At 36.6% G+C, this 18,268-nt stretch overlaps 1 annotated feature.

Annotated features, from left to right (window-relative positions):
• Positions 5,448–5,977: an enhancer, noted in NCBI's record as "NANOG hESC enhancer chr12:67630932-67631461 (GRCh37/hg19 assembly coordinates)". NCBI's record gives its function as "activates a minimal SCP1, AML or CMV promoter by ChIP-STARR-seq in naive H9 embryonic stem cells {active_cell/tissue: H9 hESC(naive)}" and the evidence as "EXISTENCE:reporter gene assay evidence [ECO:0000049][PMID:30033119]".

Here is an 18,268-nt window from a genome sequence, read left to right as displayed (position 1 = left end):
TCATATTCTTTCAACCAGAAAAGATAGGAATTCCCTAATATAAAAAATAGAGAACACACCTACAGCCACAAGTGTTTGGAAATTCTAGGGATAAAGGAAACTAATTTTCTTCTTGATTTCAAATTTCTCCCAACACATGCTGTCAACTTTGTTTTACATAATAAGCCCACAGCTTGAGTACACATAATCTCGAAGATGAAAGTGTTTATCATCTACTCTTCAATGAGTGAGACACACAGTAATGATTTACAGTTGGTTCTCAGTAGTGGTGGGCCATGACACTTGCCTCTCGTCTTTTTAGAAAGAAGCATTTGTTCTTTAAAAGGTAAACTTTAAGGTTGTAATTTCAATATTTGTTATGGCACTGTTTGAGAGTTGGCTGACGCTAGTCTTTCCTAAAATTTTCTTGAAGAGTAAACCAAACCTCAGCCTGGATGTACCTAATAGTATTTTCTTAGAAGAGTGGGACTAGTATGACAACATGAGAATAGCAGTATAAGAATAGAGGGGTTTAACAACAATTTTGAGCAATAATATAAAATACTACCCATGTGTGGTGGCTCATGCCTGTAATCCCAGCTTGTTGGGAGATGGAGACAGAAGGATCGCTTGAAGCCAGAAGTTCAAGATCAGCCTGGGCAACATCAGTGAGACTCCATTTCTATCTGAAAACCCTTGTTTTAAATTAAAATATATACATTGCATGTATATTGTACAGCCTATAAATAATAGCTCTCTGTACAAGATGGCCTTCCACAAAAACATAATTATATGTGAGAATTTCATTATTTGGGGACGTAAATATCTTGCCTTTAAGTTACTTGAAGTTTCTTGTTTTTTGGTAACACAGAGCATCTTAGGAGATAGAAGTAAAATGCTGTCAAACTGCAGTGTATGGCAGTGTTAAGGATTTGGAATGGGATAGAAAGTCCTAAGTTAGAAAACAGGCTTTGGAGTTTCATGAGCCTTGTTTTATTTAAGGATAACAGTCTCTAGTACACAGGTTTGTTGTAAAGACAAAAGGGAAACATGTATAGAAAACTTTGCCCAGCACCTGGCACATCAGTAAGTCCTCTAACAGAAAGGGTTACTAGCAGTGAGGCTGTGCTAAACTGTCAACAGTGTTAAAACAGGATTGTACTCTCTTCCTGAGAGTAAGAGAAAGATGGTGAGGAATTAGCAGTAGTGTTTGTATTTTGAAAAAAGTACAAATCTTTTTTCAATCTCCCTTTCAAACGTTTACTGTCTTCTTAGTACTTGTGTTCACCCCCATAGCTCAGAAAGGGAGCAAACCGTTCTCATGAGTTAAAATGTTTTATTATCACCAATGATCCCATGGAAACTCTGAGGAAAATAAGTCATACTGATCAAGTGTATTTGATTATTTTAGAATCAGTCACAAAATTCGGCTCTTACTACTTTCCAAACTATGTTTGCTGTGTCCAGGATTCAACCAGGCTATTGCATGCTCTTGCATGACTCATCATGCAATTAGAAAGAGACCTAGACTATTTATCTTCGCAAAGAAAATGTCTTTACTTCTATCTCTACCAAGTCATTTCACAAATCTTCATTCAAAATGTATGTCTATGCTTTTGCAGTTGTAGTAAAATAGTCAATTAACCAAACTTTTATTTGCATATAATCTGTCAGGGTAGACTTACCTCTGAATACTCCAGAGTCTGTTTGCTCTAATAATGATAAAAGTTTTTTTTTCATATACCCCAAATAATTCAGTATCTAAATAAGGCCATTATGCCAAAAAGATAAATATTCTGAATTGAGGTAGCTTTATAATCTCTTTCATATATGAAATGAAACTAAATCCTGTCCTATTAGAGACAAACATAAACAGAAAACACTAAAACAGGAGGAGTTGCAGTAAATAAGGAGAAATATTCAAACATGAAGCATGTTTTGTCATGAGGCAACTCAGTTGACAACCTCATGCTTTGTCATGAGGCAACTCAGTTGACATTTGTTATTGAACGTCCATAACCTGATTGGTTCTAAGTCTTTGGTGGCACCTAGGAAGAGTTAGAGGATTAGTCTTCAGGTACATTGGCACCGATCAGGGACTCAGTCATGCCTCACTTTGTTGCCTTTGGACCAGATTAAAAAACAGTGCAGAATATTAACAGTTGTTTCTTGCTTTAGCTTAATGGTGTAACAGAATTTGCTAGCGCCTGCTGGTCACCTGGCTGCCATTTGTTTCTGGGTCACTATCAAGATTCAGATTAATTAGGTCACATGTGATGATAAACCAGTTAACTGCCCCAAAATTTCTCTTTGTTCAATCTTAATTATCACAAAAGTGTACACTTGTATAGGCCTTTCATATATATTATAGAATATAGAAGACTCTTTGTTCAATCTTAATTATCACAAAAGTGAACACTTACATAGGCCTTTCATATATTATAGAATATAGAAGAAAATAGCACCAAATCAGCTTTTTGCAGACACATTTTTACCAGGTCCCATATTAAGAAAAACATTTTATAACACAACTTGGTACATGCAAATTTATAGATACATATACACATACATATGTATGCATGCACACATAAATATGTAATGTGAAACAAATATTTCATGAAACAGTATTCACTCTTACTAGGGGCAATGCATTCCAGTGTTTTCTGATCTATTTTATTTTTTTCTAAATGGTTGGGACCTACTAACAGATTGTGACCTGCAGTTTGAAAAACCCCTTCTCATGAGAGTCCCTAGAGCTTGCTCCCCTACTTGAGAATCTGCTGAGTTTGTCACTGTCAGTGCACAGGGTAAAACCTTTCTGTTCTGTTAGACTTTTGTATAATTTCTGTATGTCAGGAACCAGTAAGAAACACATTTTTATTACTATCACAATGTAAACATGTTCAGGGAACTAGGCCTAAAGACTGTTTAATTGTATTGAAATAATTACACCAATACTCCTTGACTATCTTCTGATGAACTAGTTAAACATACTGTAGGCAATGGGAAAAAATGGGGGAACTTCAAATACTTAAAAAATACAATTTTAATATTATTTCTGTTGCTTCCAGAATAACACCTGCAAATACTGTAGTGAGGGCAAAAGGACAGTGCTTGCCGCCTGGAGGAAGGGATGCTAGTTCCCTATCTGATGTCAGTTTATCACAGCAGTAAAAGGTGCACAATTCCCATTTTGTCCTATCATGGGCAGGCTCTGTAGTCAAGGCTTTTTTTTTTGTTTTTTAGCTTTCTAGTTGCCTTTTAGTCTTGCAAGCTATTTACAGTCCATGGTTGGAAATAGGTTTTCTATTTAGCTGTGCGTGCAGTTGGCCATCAGAATCAGGGGGAGCTTCTGTTTGCCACAGCAGAAACGTGGAGAGGCAGATGTGGCATGCCTGATGGAGCTTGGACTAAGAAAACCTAGGTTTGCAGGTTCCGCTGCATGTATAACACGTTCCCTTGTGAAGAAAAGCATTTAACATCTCTGAACCCCTGTTTACTAACAAACATATATGGTTCCTACTGAATACCAGGCATAGTGCCAGGTTTTGGAAGATAACAATGACCAAAAAAATAGTTCATACCCCTAAAATGGAGATGGTAATGCTGGAATATATGATTATGCGAACTGCAGTATTTTTATCAGCATTAAAAGGGAGAAGAAACGGGAAATATCCAGCACAATGTGTCACCTTTGTTAGAATTACTTCACTATGTTAGAATTGTTTATTTTTTGGATTTGAAGCTGTTTTGTTATGAAATATTACATACCTTTTGAAAAGTGCAAAAACATATATGTTCAGCTAAGTGAATTATTAAAAAGCATTCATGTAACTCTTACCCAGATATAGAAATGGAATATTGCCATCACCCCGGAAATCCCCAGATGCTCCACTGAATCACAACCTCTTCCTCCCTAAGGCATTCCCACATTCTTGACTTGTACGGTTTTCATTTTGTTGCTGTTCATATATATATATGCATACTTTTGTAGTTTATATATATAAATAAACTACAGTTTAGTTATAAAGTTTAGTTAATAAACTTTAGTTTATAAACTGTAGTTTATTTATATATATATAAACTACAAAAGTATGCATCCGAAACATTATTGTTTCATTTAGCCTGGTTTTGAACTTTATGTTATTCTATTCTAGCTTGTTTCTTCTACTCATCATTCCATTATTTCAACTATCCACATTGTAAATATGAGTTGTAGTTAATTACTTTCCATTACTGTATAACATTCAGTTAAATAAATATGTCAGATTTTCTTTTTTAAATCCACCCTATTATTAATAGACATTTGGCTACTACACAAAATGCTGCTTTGGAAATTCTTATGTATATCTTTTGATACAAGTAAGTCTGCATTTCTATAGAGTAGATACTTAGGGAAAGAAAACAACTGGGTATTCAACTGGGTCATACGACTTATGTATCTTCATTCGTTCTAGATCACACCTGTTTTCCAAAGTGGTTATGCCAGTGTACAGTCTAATTTGCAATGAATGACCGTTGCTTTTGCACCACTTTCAGTTATTGTCAGACTATTAATTTTAGCTACTCAAGTGGGTATTTTGTATCTCACATTAGTTTAAATCACATGTTCCCCAATTACTAATAAGGTTGAACACTTTTATCAGCCATTTGCTTTTCTTCCTATGTGAAGAAAGATTTTCTTCTTATGTGTTTAAGATTTTGGACCTTTTATTATTTAGTTGTCTTTTTTATAATGCTCTGGATCTAATCTCTTCATCAGTATATGTAATATAAATGCTATGCAAATAACTTCTACCACTCCGTATCTTGTCTTTTAGTCTCTTATTAATGTATTTTGATGTACAGAAGTTCATAATTTTAATATTAGTCCACTGTATTGTTCATTTTCTTTACATTAGTGTTTTTCTTTGTTCCACAACATTTACTGAAAAAACCATCTTTCCCTCATTAAACTCCAATGCTATGTATGTGATAAATCAAGTGTTAGTATACATGTGGGTATGTTAGTTCTCTTTATGGTTCCAGAGACCTATGTGTCTATCGTTGCAACAAACCCACAAATCTTCTATATCCTTACTGATTTTTATCTGCTAATTTAATAAGTTACTGGAAAATGTATGTTACAATATAATTATGGATTTGTCCATTTCACTTTGTAACTTCATCAATTTTTGCATCCATATATTTTGAGGCTAACTTATTAGATACATACAATTTTTTATTTGTTATACAATCTTTGTGAATTGAACTTATCAAAGTGAAATGTCTACTCTTATTTCTAGTAATAGTATGTCTAAGTATCTGTTTGGTATTAATGAGGTAAGGCCACCATTTATTAGATTCTTGTTCAGTTTATCATTTTACATACATTTGTTTTTATATCTTCTATGTCTTTATTTCTTAGATGTACTTTTTTGCAAGTAGCATCTAGTTGTGATTTCATGAAAATCTTTGCCTTTTAAGGGGATCACTTTGTTTATATTCAATTCAATTACTGATTCATTAGTTTACACCAGTTACATCACCTCAGTTCTAGTCCATTTAGTGTTGCTGTAAAGGGATACCTAAGGCTAGGTAGCTTATAAAGAAAAGAAGTTTATTTGGCTTATGATTCTGCTGGCTGGAAGGTTCAATATTGGGCATCCGGTGAGGGCCTCAGGCTATTTCTACTCGTGGTGGAAGACAAAGGGGAGCCTGTATGTGCAGAGATCACACAGCGGGAGAGAAAGCAAGAGGGGTAGGGGCGGTGCCAGGCTCTTCTTAACAATCAGCTCTTACAGGAATTAATAGAGTGAGAACTCATCCCCCACTCCCAGGGAAGTCACTAATCTATTTATGAGGAATCTGCTCCCATGGCCCAAACACCACCCATTAGGCCCTGTCTCTCAACACTACCACACTGGTGATCAAATTTTAACATGAGATTTGGGGGGACAAGTATCCTAAGCATAGCAGCTTCTCTGCCCCAAAGCCACCCTTCACTGCCATGCTTGTGACATTAGAAAATTTTTTCTCTGACAACTGGTAGACAGAGTGCTACATTTTATCAGTAAAGGCCACTAGAAAGACAAAGGAGGATGAAGAGGTCAAAAATATGTAACACCTCCCCGGGAATAGCTTTCTCTAGGACTTAAGGGGAGGCTTCCCAGTAAGACCTGTTATTGGGGCACCTTACCAAACTTGTCTGCCATCCTGTGAGCCATGCCCACAACCTTTCCAATGAGACTGGATTTAAGCCCTAGGGAAAAGGGAGAGTGTCCAGATATTTTTGTATTTTGAATGACCGGCCTCTAGTCCTAGAGGTAAAGGATATTCCCTTCATCTACTCTTCTGACTTTCTTTACGGTTCCCTTTACCGTTCAGTAGGTACTCTCTATTCAGTAGTTAAATATTCTTTATATAAAACCTTCCCTGTTCAAAATACGGTGTCGTTCCTTTCTCCTGATTGGATACGGGATTTAATCTTCTATTTGTTTTCTATTTGCCCATCTTGTTACACCAAATTTTTCGATATTCCATTTCAGCAACTTTATTAGTTTGGTAGTTATACATATTTGTATTCCTCTTATTGGTGACCCTAATTATTATAACATGCTTCCTTGACTTATAAAACTTGATACTTTTTTCCTTTTCCTGGAAAATATAAGGTCATTAGAAAAATTTAATTCCATTTAATTTCCTCCAAACTTTCATGTTGATTGTTAAGTATTTTAACTCTATATAATTTTTAATCATCATAAGATTTCATTATCATGGCCAGGCACAGTGGCACACATCCTATAATCCCAGCACTTTGGGAGGCCGAGGTGGGTGGATCACCTGAGGTCAGGAGTTTGAGACCAGCCTGGCCAACATGGTGAAACTCCATCTCTACAAAAAATACAAAAATTAGCCAGGCATGGTGGCACTTGCCTGTAATCCCAGCTACTTGGGAGGCTGAGGCAGGACAATCACTTGAACTCAGGAGGCAGAGGTTGCAGTGAGCCGAGATCATGCCACCACACTCCAGCCTGGGAGACAGAGTGAGACTTAGTCTCAAAAAAAAAAAAAAGTCATTATTACTATTTTATACTCTCAATGTTCATTTAGATATACCTAGACATTTTCCTTTACATTGTTCTTATTTCTTCCTACACTTTAGAGCGTCTGTGGTTATTTTACTCTGGCCTGAAGAACATTCTTTGTATTTCTATGAGTGTGGATCTGTTGGTGACAGATGACTCATCCTTCATTTGTCTTAATGTCATTTGATTTTACCTACATTGCTGAAAGGTATTTTCTTCTGGTAGAGAATTTTAGATTGTTAGTCTTTTTTTTTTTTAATCTCTTTGAGGATACGGTTTCATAGTCTTTTGGTTTTCATTGTTTCTGTTGAGTAGCCAGCTGTAGGGCTTTTGAGTTGACTGTATTTTTTTGCCCTATGACTATTTTAAGATTTTTCTTCTTTGGTTCTATGGGATTTCACCTCAATGTGGCAAAATCTGAATTTATTTTAATTAATTTGACTTCAGAGTCATTGAACTTCTTAAATATTTGGCTTGATGTCTTTTGTAAGATTTGGAAACATTCACAGCTAATTTCTCTTCAGATATTGCTCTTGTTCTATTTTCTGTCTTTATTTCTTCTAGGACTCCAATTACATGTATGTTAGATATTCTTACTGTGTTCCCTGTTTTTCTTACCTTCTCTTTTGCAATTCCCATCCATGCACTTCTTTGTGCTTCATCCTAAATATCTGCTCCTGACTGATCATCCAGTTTACTACTTCTTTCTTCAGACTCATCTTGTCTGCAGTTAAACCCATCTAATGAGTCCTTAATTTTAGTTATTTTTTTTTTACTTTCTGTTATAATTTTTCACTTCTCTGACAAAATTCTCAGTTTTGTCTTTTATCTTCTTGAATATGTTAAGGATAGTTATTTTGAAGCTTACATTGGATAATGCTATTAACTTCTTCCCCTGTGGTTATGTTTCTGTTTTTTATTGTTTGTCTTGTTTTTATTTCTGTTGTCTTGTCTCTTTGTGTGTTTGGTTATTTTTGCTTGTGTGCAGAACATTGTATACAAAAAACTATAAAAAATAATGTGGCATCTAGGAAAATATTATCTTCCCCCAGAATGGAGATAAATTTGCTTCTATAGGCAGCTAAAGACACTAGGAATATGGTATTGCTTTAGTCCAATTTCAAAAATTTGGATAATTTTAACTTGAACCTTACTTCTATAAACTATCCCTGTGAGGTTGAACCTGAAGTTTCATAGGATAAAGAAACTGTGGTACATATACACCATGGAATACTACGCAGCCATAAAAAGGAACAAGTCTTTTGTGGGAACACAGATGGAGCTGGAGGCCATGATCCTTAGCAACTAATCCAGGAACAGAAAACCAAATACTGTATATTCTCACATGTAAGTGAGAGCTAAATGATGAGAACTTATGAACACAAAGAAGGAAACAACAGACACTGGGGTCTACTTAAGGGTAAAGGGTGAAAGGAGGGAGAGGAGCAGAAAAAATAACTACTGGGTACTAGGCTTAGTACCTGGGTGACAAAATAATCTGTACGACAAACCCCCATGACATGAGTTTACTCATGTAACAAACCTGCATGTGTACCCTTGAACCTAAAATAAAAGTTAAGACCAAAAAAAGAAAATGCCTTTAGTTTGCCAGTGAAAGCACTAGGGTAAGGCAAGCGAGTTGCCTAGTGTGTAAAATATAAGAAGGCATGCACTCTCAAGCTTGTGCACTTGCAGGACTGGCTTCTGACAGTGATTTCCTTCTTCAACTTTGCATGCTGAGTGTCTTGCTTGCCTCACCCTAGTTGTGACCCTGTACTTTGCTTTCATTCTTGAGTTGTTACTGCTGGGTATGGAATTCTTACTCAGAAGTTTTGTTCTTTCCATTCATTGAAATAATATTATTTTATTGTCTTCTGGTTTTTCTTATAGCTGTGAAAGGTATTGGAAACAACCCATATAATTGTTTCCATTGAAGGCAGTATTCCTTCTCTGGCTGCTGTAAGATTTTTCTCTTTGTCTTTGCCACTATATGCAGCTTCATTATTGTATATCTAAGTGTGGGTTTAAAAAAATTATGCTGCTCATGGTGCTTTAGACTTGTTAAATCTATAAATCTCTGTTTTTCACCACCAATTTTGAAAATTCTGTGCCATTATCTCTTCAAAGTTGCTTCTATTCAATTATCTTTTTTTTCTTTTCTTCTGGGAATTTAACTAAGTAGTCATATATGGCTTAACAACGAGAACACATTCTGAGAAATTCCCCATTAGGTCGTTTCATCACTCTACAAATATTATAGAGTGTACTTACACAAACCTAGTTTATATAAGCCTACTGCCACCTAGGCTATATGGTATAGCTTATTGCTCCTAAGCTATAAAACTGCAAAGTATGTTACTTTACTGAATACTGTAGGCAATTTTAACACAATGATATTTGTGTATATAAGCATATCTAAATATAGACAAGATATAGTGAAAATACACATTATAATCTTATGAGACCATCATTGGATAGGAGGTCCATCCTTGGCCAAAATGTTGTTATGCAGTTCATGATTATACATTAGACAATCTCTCTCCTTTATGTGTCTTGTCATTACTTCCTCTATTTTCCATGATTTTGTTCCCCTGTGCTTAATTTTGATATTTTTCTGTTCTATTTTCTAGTTCACTAATTTTCTTTTTTGTTATATCTAATCTGCTTTCTAATGCTTTCAAGTTCTTAATTTTTGTTATTGTATGTTTAAATTCTATAATTTTTATTTAATTCTTTCTTAAATCTTTGATATAACTTCTTATGGTTTCTAGTTTTCTGCTTAAATCTTCAAACATGGTCTTTATATTTGAAATAAACATAAAACGAGCATTGTAGACATCATGGTTTTTCAGTCTTTATCTGATAATTCTAGCATTTGGAGTCCTCTTGGTTTTCTTTCTGCTATTTCACTTATCTGACTTGTGTCATTATGTGGCTTATTGTCTTTAAGGATGTGCTAGTCATTCTCTTTGAAAATATGTCTAAAAGACAATTTTGAAGACTTACATAATTCTATCTTCCTTTGGATATTTTTTATTCTTTCTGTGAGGTGTCTGAAGGCACTTCAATAATACTCTTTATCTTTTTTAAGCCTCAGGATTTGGGAGAATACCCAGATGACCTAAAACCAGGCATTTTTCCATGTGAGGGCCGGTTTATTTTGGTTATATTCTTACACAAAGAGGAATCCCAAAACAAGGAAGGAGTGGTAAGAGTCTCCACATCTACTGAGCTCTGGACTCTGAAAAATTGGCATCAAATCCCAGGCCCATAGTTCTGAATTTCTTCCACTACCTAGATATCAGCCTAGTAGTTCATCACTATCTGATTAAATCTTCAGTGCTTCTAAGAAGAATTTTTCAAAAGTGTCCTCTGGCTTACTTGAGCTATGTTCAGCAATAACTTCATCTGTCATTACCAGAAGTAGAATTAGACTAGTTGGATGGTTGGTTTACTTACTTACTTATTTTTAAGTGACCTAAATAACACATACTTTGATTCAGGCACTATTACTCTTTGCAAACACTAACTCACTGAATTCTGATAACAACCCTAAAAGATAAGTATTATTATCATTGAAGTTTACAAATGAAGAAACAAGGCTCAGAGAGTTTAAATAATTTCCCCCAAGGTCCACAGCAAACAAGTTGTAACACTAAGATTCTAGTGAGGCAATCTTTCTCTAGAGCCCACACTTCTAACCACTGTGTTTGGCTTCTCCAGAAATTCATTATCTGTACAGATCTTAGTCCTCAAGAGTTGCTTGAGTCTATGGTCAACTTCTCAAAAGGATGTATCTTAAGATACTGCAAAATATCTTTAAGTACAGAACTCTGTCACTTCTTTTAGATACAACCTCAGCCCTCGAGTATCCCATTCCAGTCTCCAACACTGCTCAGTTTGCTGGTACGACAAGCAGAATTCTTCAGCATACTAGACTTTAATTACTAGAAAGAGGAGCTATGAAGACAGACTTCACTTGATTTGCAATTGTGCTTGGTTATATCCTATTTTAGGCTTAGAAAGATAGAAATTTTACAAATACCATGAATGTCTTAGCTGATAAACTCTCAGGAAGGTTCAATGCCTTCTCTATTTCCCAACACTACAACTTTGTGTTTTTTTTTAGTCTAAATTAGTATCAGTAGGAGACTTAAAATTTCAATGAAAGGTCATTTGAGTGGCATTTTTAGAGTCAGGATACTTTGAAATGTGTATTTTTAGAGAATTATTTGTATGAAACATAGAGGAATTGAAAACAGTGGAAAAATAATTCCTTGGTTTATATTGAGGAGCTAAATATAACCACAGAGTTGGCAGGACATGCTTTTTGTACATTGTTAGTTCCTAGGACTAATTTCAATTTATGACACTCAGTAGAATATGTACACAGTAATAGCTTTCATTTGGTATCTGAATTTTCCCTTCTGTGTTTTAAATGTTGAAAAATAAATATTAAACATCCCTGTCTGACAGCTTTGATGAGAGTAGTGGTTCTCCCAGCACAAAATTTGAGATCTGAGAACGGACAGACTGCCTCCTCAAGTGGATCCCTGACCCCTGAGTAGCCTAACTGGGAGGCACCTCCCAGTAGGGGAGCAACTGACACCTCATAAGGCAGGGTGCCCCTCTGAGACGAAGCTTCCAGAGGAAGGATTAGGCAGCAACATTTGCTGTTCTGCAGCCTCCGCTGGTAATACCCAGGCAAGCAGGGTCTGGAGTGGACCTACAGCAAATTCCAACAGACCTGCAGCTGAGGGTCCTGACTGTTAGAAGGAAAACTAACAAGCAGAAAGGACATCCACACCAAAACCCCACCTGTACATCACCATCATCAAAGACCAAAGGAAGATAAAACCACAAAGATGGGGAGAAACCAGAGCAGAAAAGCTGAAAATTCCAAAAATCAGAGCGCCTTTTCTCCTCCAAAGGAATGCAGCTCCTTGCCAGCAATGGAACAAAGCTGGACGGAGAATGACTTTGACAAGTCGAGTGAAGAAGGCTTCAGATGATCGGTAATAACAAACTTCTCCGAGATAAAGGAGGATGTTCAAACGCACCGCAAAAAAGCTAAAAACCTTGAAAAAGGAGTAGACGAATGGCTAACTAGAATAAACAGTGTAGAGAGGTCCTTAAATGACCTGATGGAGCTGAAAACCATGGCACAAGAACTACATGATGCATGCACAAGCTTCAGTAGCCAATTTGATCAAATGGAAGAAAGGGTATCAGTGATTGAAGATCGAATGAATGAAATGAAGTGAGAAGTTTAGAGAAAAAAGAGTAAAAAGAAATGAACAAAGCCTCCAAGGAACATGGGACTATGTGAAAAGACCAAATCTACGTCTGATTGGTCTACCTGAAAGTGATGGGGAGAATGGAACCAAGTTGGAAGACACTCTTCAGGATATCATCCAGGAGAACTTCCCCAACCTAGCGAGGCAAGCCAACATTCAAATTCAGGAAACACAGAGAACGCCACAAAGATACTCCTCGAGAAGAGCAACTCCAAGACACATAATTGTCAGATTCACCAAAGTTGAAATGAAGGAAAAAATGTTAAGGGCAGCCAGAGAGAAAGGTTGGGTTACCTACAAAGGGAAGCCCATCATACTAACAGCGGATATCTCGGCAGAAACTCTACAAGCCAGAAGAGAGTGGGGGCCAATATTCAACATTCTTAAAGAAAAGAATTTTGAATCCAGAATTTCATATCCAGCCAAACTAAGCTTCATAAGTGATGGAGAAATAAAATCCTTTACAGACAAACAAATGCTAAGAGATTTTGTCACCACCAGGCCTGCCTTACAAGAGCTCCTGAAGGAAACACTAAACATGGAAAGGAACAACCGGTACCAGCCCCTGCAAAAAACATGCCAAATTGTAAAGACCATTGATACTAGGAAGAAACTGCATCAACTAATGAGCAAAATAACCAGCTAACATCATAATGACAGGATCAAATTCACACATAACAATATTAACCTTAAATGTAAATGGGCTAAATGCTCCAATTAAAAGACACAGACTGGCAAATTGGATAAAGAGTCAAGACCCATCAGAGTGCTGTATTCAGGAGACCCATCTCATGTGCAGAGACTCATATAGACTCAAAATAAAGGGATGGAGGAAGATTTACCAAGCAAATGGAAAACATTTGCAATCCTAGGGGTTGCAATCCTAGTCTCTAATAAAACAGACTTTAAACCGACAAAGATCAAAAGAGACAAAGAAGGCCATTACATAATGGTAAAGGGATCAATTCAACAAGAAGAGCTAACTATACTAAATATATATGCACCCAATACAGGAGCACCCAGATTCATAAAGCAAGTCCTTAGAGACCTACAAAGAGACTTAGACTCCCACACGATAATAATCAGAGACTTTAACACCTCACTGTCAACATTAGACAGATCAACAAGACAGAAAGTTAACAAGGATATCCAGAAATTGAACTCAGCTCTGCACCAAGCAGACCTAATAGATATCAACAGAACTCTCCACCCCTAAACAGCAGAATATACATTCTTCTCAGCACCACATCACACTTATTACAAAATTGACCACATAGTTGGAAGTAAAGCACTCCTCAGCAAATGTAAAAGAACAGAAATTATAACAAACTGTCTCTCAGACCACAGGGCAACCAAACTAGAACTCAGGATTAAGAAAATCACTCAAAACCACTCAACTACATGGAAACTGAACAATGTGCTCCAATTGACTACTGGGTACATAACAAATTGAAGGCAGAAATAAATATGTTCTTTGAAACCAATGAGAAAAAGACACAACATACCAGAATCTCTGGGACGCATTTAAAGCAGTGTATAGAGGGAAATTTATAGCACTAAAAGCCCACAAGAGAAAGCAGGAAAGATCTAAAATTGACACCCTAACATCACAATGAAAAGAACTAGAGAAACAAGAGCAAATACATTCAAAAGCTAGCAGAAGGCAAGAAATAACTAAAATCAGAGCAGAACTGAAGGAGATAGACACACAAAAAACCCTTCAAAAAATCAATGAATCCAAGAGCTGGTTTTCGAAAGATGAACAAAATTGATAGACTGCTTGCAAGACTAATAAAGAAGAAAAGAGAGAAGAATCAAATAGACGCAATAAAAAATGATAAAGGGGGATATCACCACTGATCCCACAGAAATACAAACTACCATCAGAGAATACTATAAACACCTCTATTCAAATAAACTAGAACATCTAGAAGAAATGGATAAATTCCTGGACACATACACCCTCCCAAGACTAAACCAGGAAGAAGTGGAACCCCTGAATAGACCAATAACAGGTTCTGAAATTGAGGCAATGATTAATAGCCTACCAACCAAAAAAAGTCCAGGACCAGACAGATTCACAGCCGAATTCTACCAGAGGTTCAAAGAGGAGCTGGTCCATTCCTCCTGAAACTATTATAATCAATAGAAAAAGAGGGAATCCTCCCTAATTCATTTTATGATGCCAACATCCTGATACCAAAACCTGGCAGAGACACAGCATAAAAAGAGAATTTTAGACCAATAACCCTGGTGAACATCGATGCAAAAATCCTCAATAAGATACTGGCAAACCACATCCAGCAGGACATCAAAAAGCTTATCCACCACGATCAAGTTGGCTTCATCCCTGGGATGCAAGGCTGCTTCAACATATGCAAATCAGTAAATGTAATCCATCATATAAACAGAACCAAAGACAAAAACCACATGATTATCTCAATAGAGGAAGAAAAGGCCTTCAACAAAATTCAACAGCCCTTCATGCTAAAAACTCAAGAAATTAGATATTGATGGGACGTATCTCAAAATAATAAGAGCTATTTATGTCAAACCCACAGCCAATATCATACTGACTGGGTAAAAACTGGAAGCATTCCCTTTGAAAACTGGCACAAGACAGGGATGCCCTCTCTCGCCACTCCTATTCAACATAGTGTTGGAAGTTCTGGCCAGGGCAGTCAGGCAGGAGAAAGAAATAAAGGGCATTCAATTAGGAAAAGAGGAAGTCAAATTGTCCCTGTTTGCAGATGACATGACTGCATATTTAGAAAACCCCATCGTCTCAGCCCAAAATCTCCTTAAGCTAATAAGCAACTTCAGCAAAGTCTCAGGATACAAAACCAATGTGCAAAAATCACAAGCATTCCTATACACCAATAACAGACAAACAGAGAGCTAAATCATGAGTAAACTCCCATTCACAATTGCTTCAATGAGAATAAAATACCTAGGAATCCAACTCACAAGGGATGTGAAGGACCTCCTCAAGGAGAACTACAAACCACTGCTCAACGAAATAAAAGAGGACACAAACAAATGGAAGAACATTCCATGCTCATGGATAGGAAGAATCAATATCATGAAAATGGCCATACTGCCCAAGGTAATTTATAGATTCAATGCCATCCCCATCAAGCTACCAATGACTTTCTTCACAGAATTGGAATAAACTTCTTTAAAGTTCATATGGAACCAAAAAAGAGCCCGCATTTCCAAGTCAATCCTAAGCCCAAAGAACAAAGCTGGAGGCATCACACTACCTGACTTCAAACTACACTACAAGGCTACAATAACCAAAACAGCATGGTACTGGTACCAAAACAGAGATATACACCAATGGAACAGAACAGAGCCCTCGGAAATAATACCACACATCTACAACCATCTGACCTTTGACAAACCTGAAAAAAACAAGAAATGGGGAAAGGATTCCCTATGTAATAAATGGTGCTGGGAAAACTGGCTAGCCATATGTAGGAAGCTGAAACTGGATCCCTTCCTTACACCTTATACAAAAATCAATTCAAGATGGATTAAAAACTTAAATATTAGACCTAAAACCATAAGAACCCTAGAAGAAAACTTAGGCAATACCATTCAGGACATAGGCATGGGCAAGGACTTCATGACTAAAACACCAAAAGCAATGGCAACAAAAGCCAAAATTGACAAATGGGATCTAATTAAACTAAAGAGCTTCTGCACAGCAAAAAAAATTACCACCAGAGTGAACAGGCAACCCACAGAATGGGAGAAAATTTTTACAATCTACTCATCTGACAAAGGGCTAATATCCAGAATCTACAAAGAACTTAAACAGATTTACAAGAAAAAAATCAAACAATCCCATCAAAAAGTGGACAAAGGATATGAACAGACACTTCTCAAAAGAAGACATTTATGCAGCCAAAAAACACATGAAAAAATGCTCATCATCACTGGCCATCAGAGAAATGCAAATCAAAACCACAATGAGATACCATCTCACACCAGTTAGAATGGTGATCATTAAAAAGTCAGGAAACAACAGGTGCTGGAGAGGTTGTGGAGGAATAGGAACGCTTTTACACTGTTGGTGGGACTGTAAACTAGTTCAACCATTGTGGAAGACAGTGTGGCGATTCCTCAAGGATCTAGAACTAGAAATACCATTTGACCCAGCCATCCCATTACTGGGTCTATACCCAAAGGATTATAAATCATGCTGCCATAAAGACACATGCACACATATGTTTATTGTGGCACTATTCACAATAGCAAAGACTTGGGACCAACCCAACTGTCCATCAATGATAGACTGGATTAAGAAAATGTGACACATATACACCATGGAATACTATGCACCCATAAAAAATGATGAGTTCCTGTCCTTTGTAGGGACATGGATGAAGCTGGAAACCATCATTCTGAGCAAACTATTGCAAGGACAGAAAACCAAACACCACATTTTCTCACTCATAGGTGGGAACTGAACAATGAGAGCACTTGGACACAGGGTGGGGAACATCACACACCGGGGCCTGCTGGAGGGTGGGGAGATGGGGGAGGGATAGCATTAGGAGATATACCTAATGTCAATGATGAGTTAACGGGGGCAGCACACCAACATGGCACATGTATACTTATGTAACAAACCTGCACATTGTGCACATGTACCCTAGAACTTAAAGTAAAATAATAATAAAAAAAGAAAAAAAGAAAAATAAATATTAATCCCCCCTCATGGTAGCTTACATTAATATTCTTTCTAATTAAAAACTCATTCTTAAACACATCACAATCACTAATTGCTTCCCATTGTCTCTTTTTCACCTTTAATGTCCACAGACCACTGAACAGAGAGTAGAAACAGCTAAGATTTATTGTTTACTGTAAGTCTGGCACAATACAGGTTTTGTACTACTGTCCCTCGGCTCTGTCATATTTTAAACACTCCTTTCTCTACGCTATTTCTAGTGCTGAATTTTTCACATTGCATTATAATTAACTAGGTATCTTACTGTCTCCACTACTAGGACAAGTTCCTTAAGAGTAGGATCTATTCATTTGTTATCTCGATTCCATAGTGTTGAGTACTAGTAAGTATTGTGACCAAAATCTAAACATAGATGTGTTTCTTTCCTCTATTCCGTACTCATTACAGAATGGGTCATGCTAAGGGGGGTTATTATTTTGTTGTTCAGAGTAGAATCCTTTTTTGAATTTGATCTCGATAGTGTGAAATAAGGAAGAGTCTTATGTCACATGACTATGCACCAACCACTTTGCATATATTGATTATCCTCCTCTTCATAAGATGCAGATTATTATGATCATGTTACAGAGAAAGACATTGAAACCCAGAGAGGTTAAGTACAATTTCTCAGGTCATGCAGCTTCTGAGTGGCAGAGACAGAATTCAAACCCAATTAGTCAGGCTCTTGAGTCTATATATTTGACCGTTAACATACTGACCGTTTACATTGTTTAAAAAGGTAAGAAAATACTATAACAAATACCTATAAACTTACCACTCAAGATAAGAAACAAAACATGACTATGTACTGATCAGATTCTCCTCCATCTGCTTCCTCTCCCCAGAGGTAACCATTCTCCTGCATTTGGTAGTTATCATGCCTAGGCACAACATTAGGAATATCCATATGTTTCTAAACAAAATACAAGATTGTTTTCCATGTTGTTGTGCTTATATAAATGACATTCCTTGGCAAATATTTAAGTTTCTATTAATCTATAATACTATGTGCCAACAACTCTTTTTAAGTGCAGAGAAAACAGCAGTGACAAAACAAAATCTCTGCTGTCATGAAATTTAGTTCTTAAGTGAGGAGACAGACAACAAAGCATGAACAAAATATATAAGATGATAATAAGTAAAACAAAATAATGTATAGTAGAGGATAAAGGGTGATGGGGTATGGA

Source organism: Homo sapiens, chromosome 12 (assembly GCF_000001405.40).
Source record: "Homo sapiens chromosome 12, GRCh38.p14 Primary Assembly".
In the NCBI taxonomy this organism is placed as follows: domain Eukaryota; kingdom Metazoa; phylum Chordata; class Mammalia; order Primates; family Hominidae; genus Homo; species Homo sapiens.
Note: the sequence above shows the minus strand (reverse complement) of the source record. Positions and strands in the feature narration are given on the sequence as shown.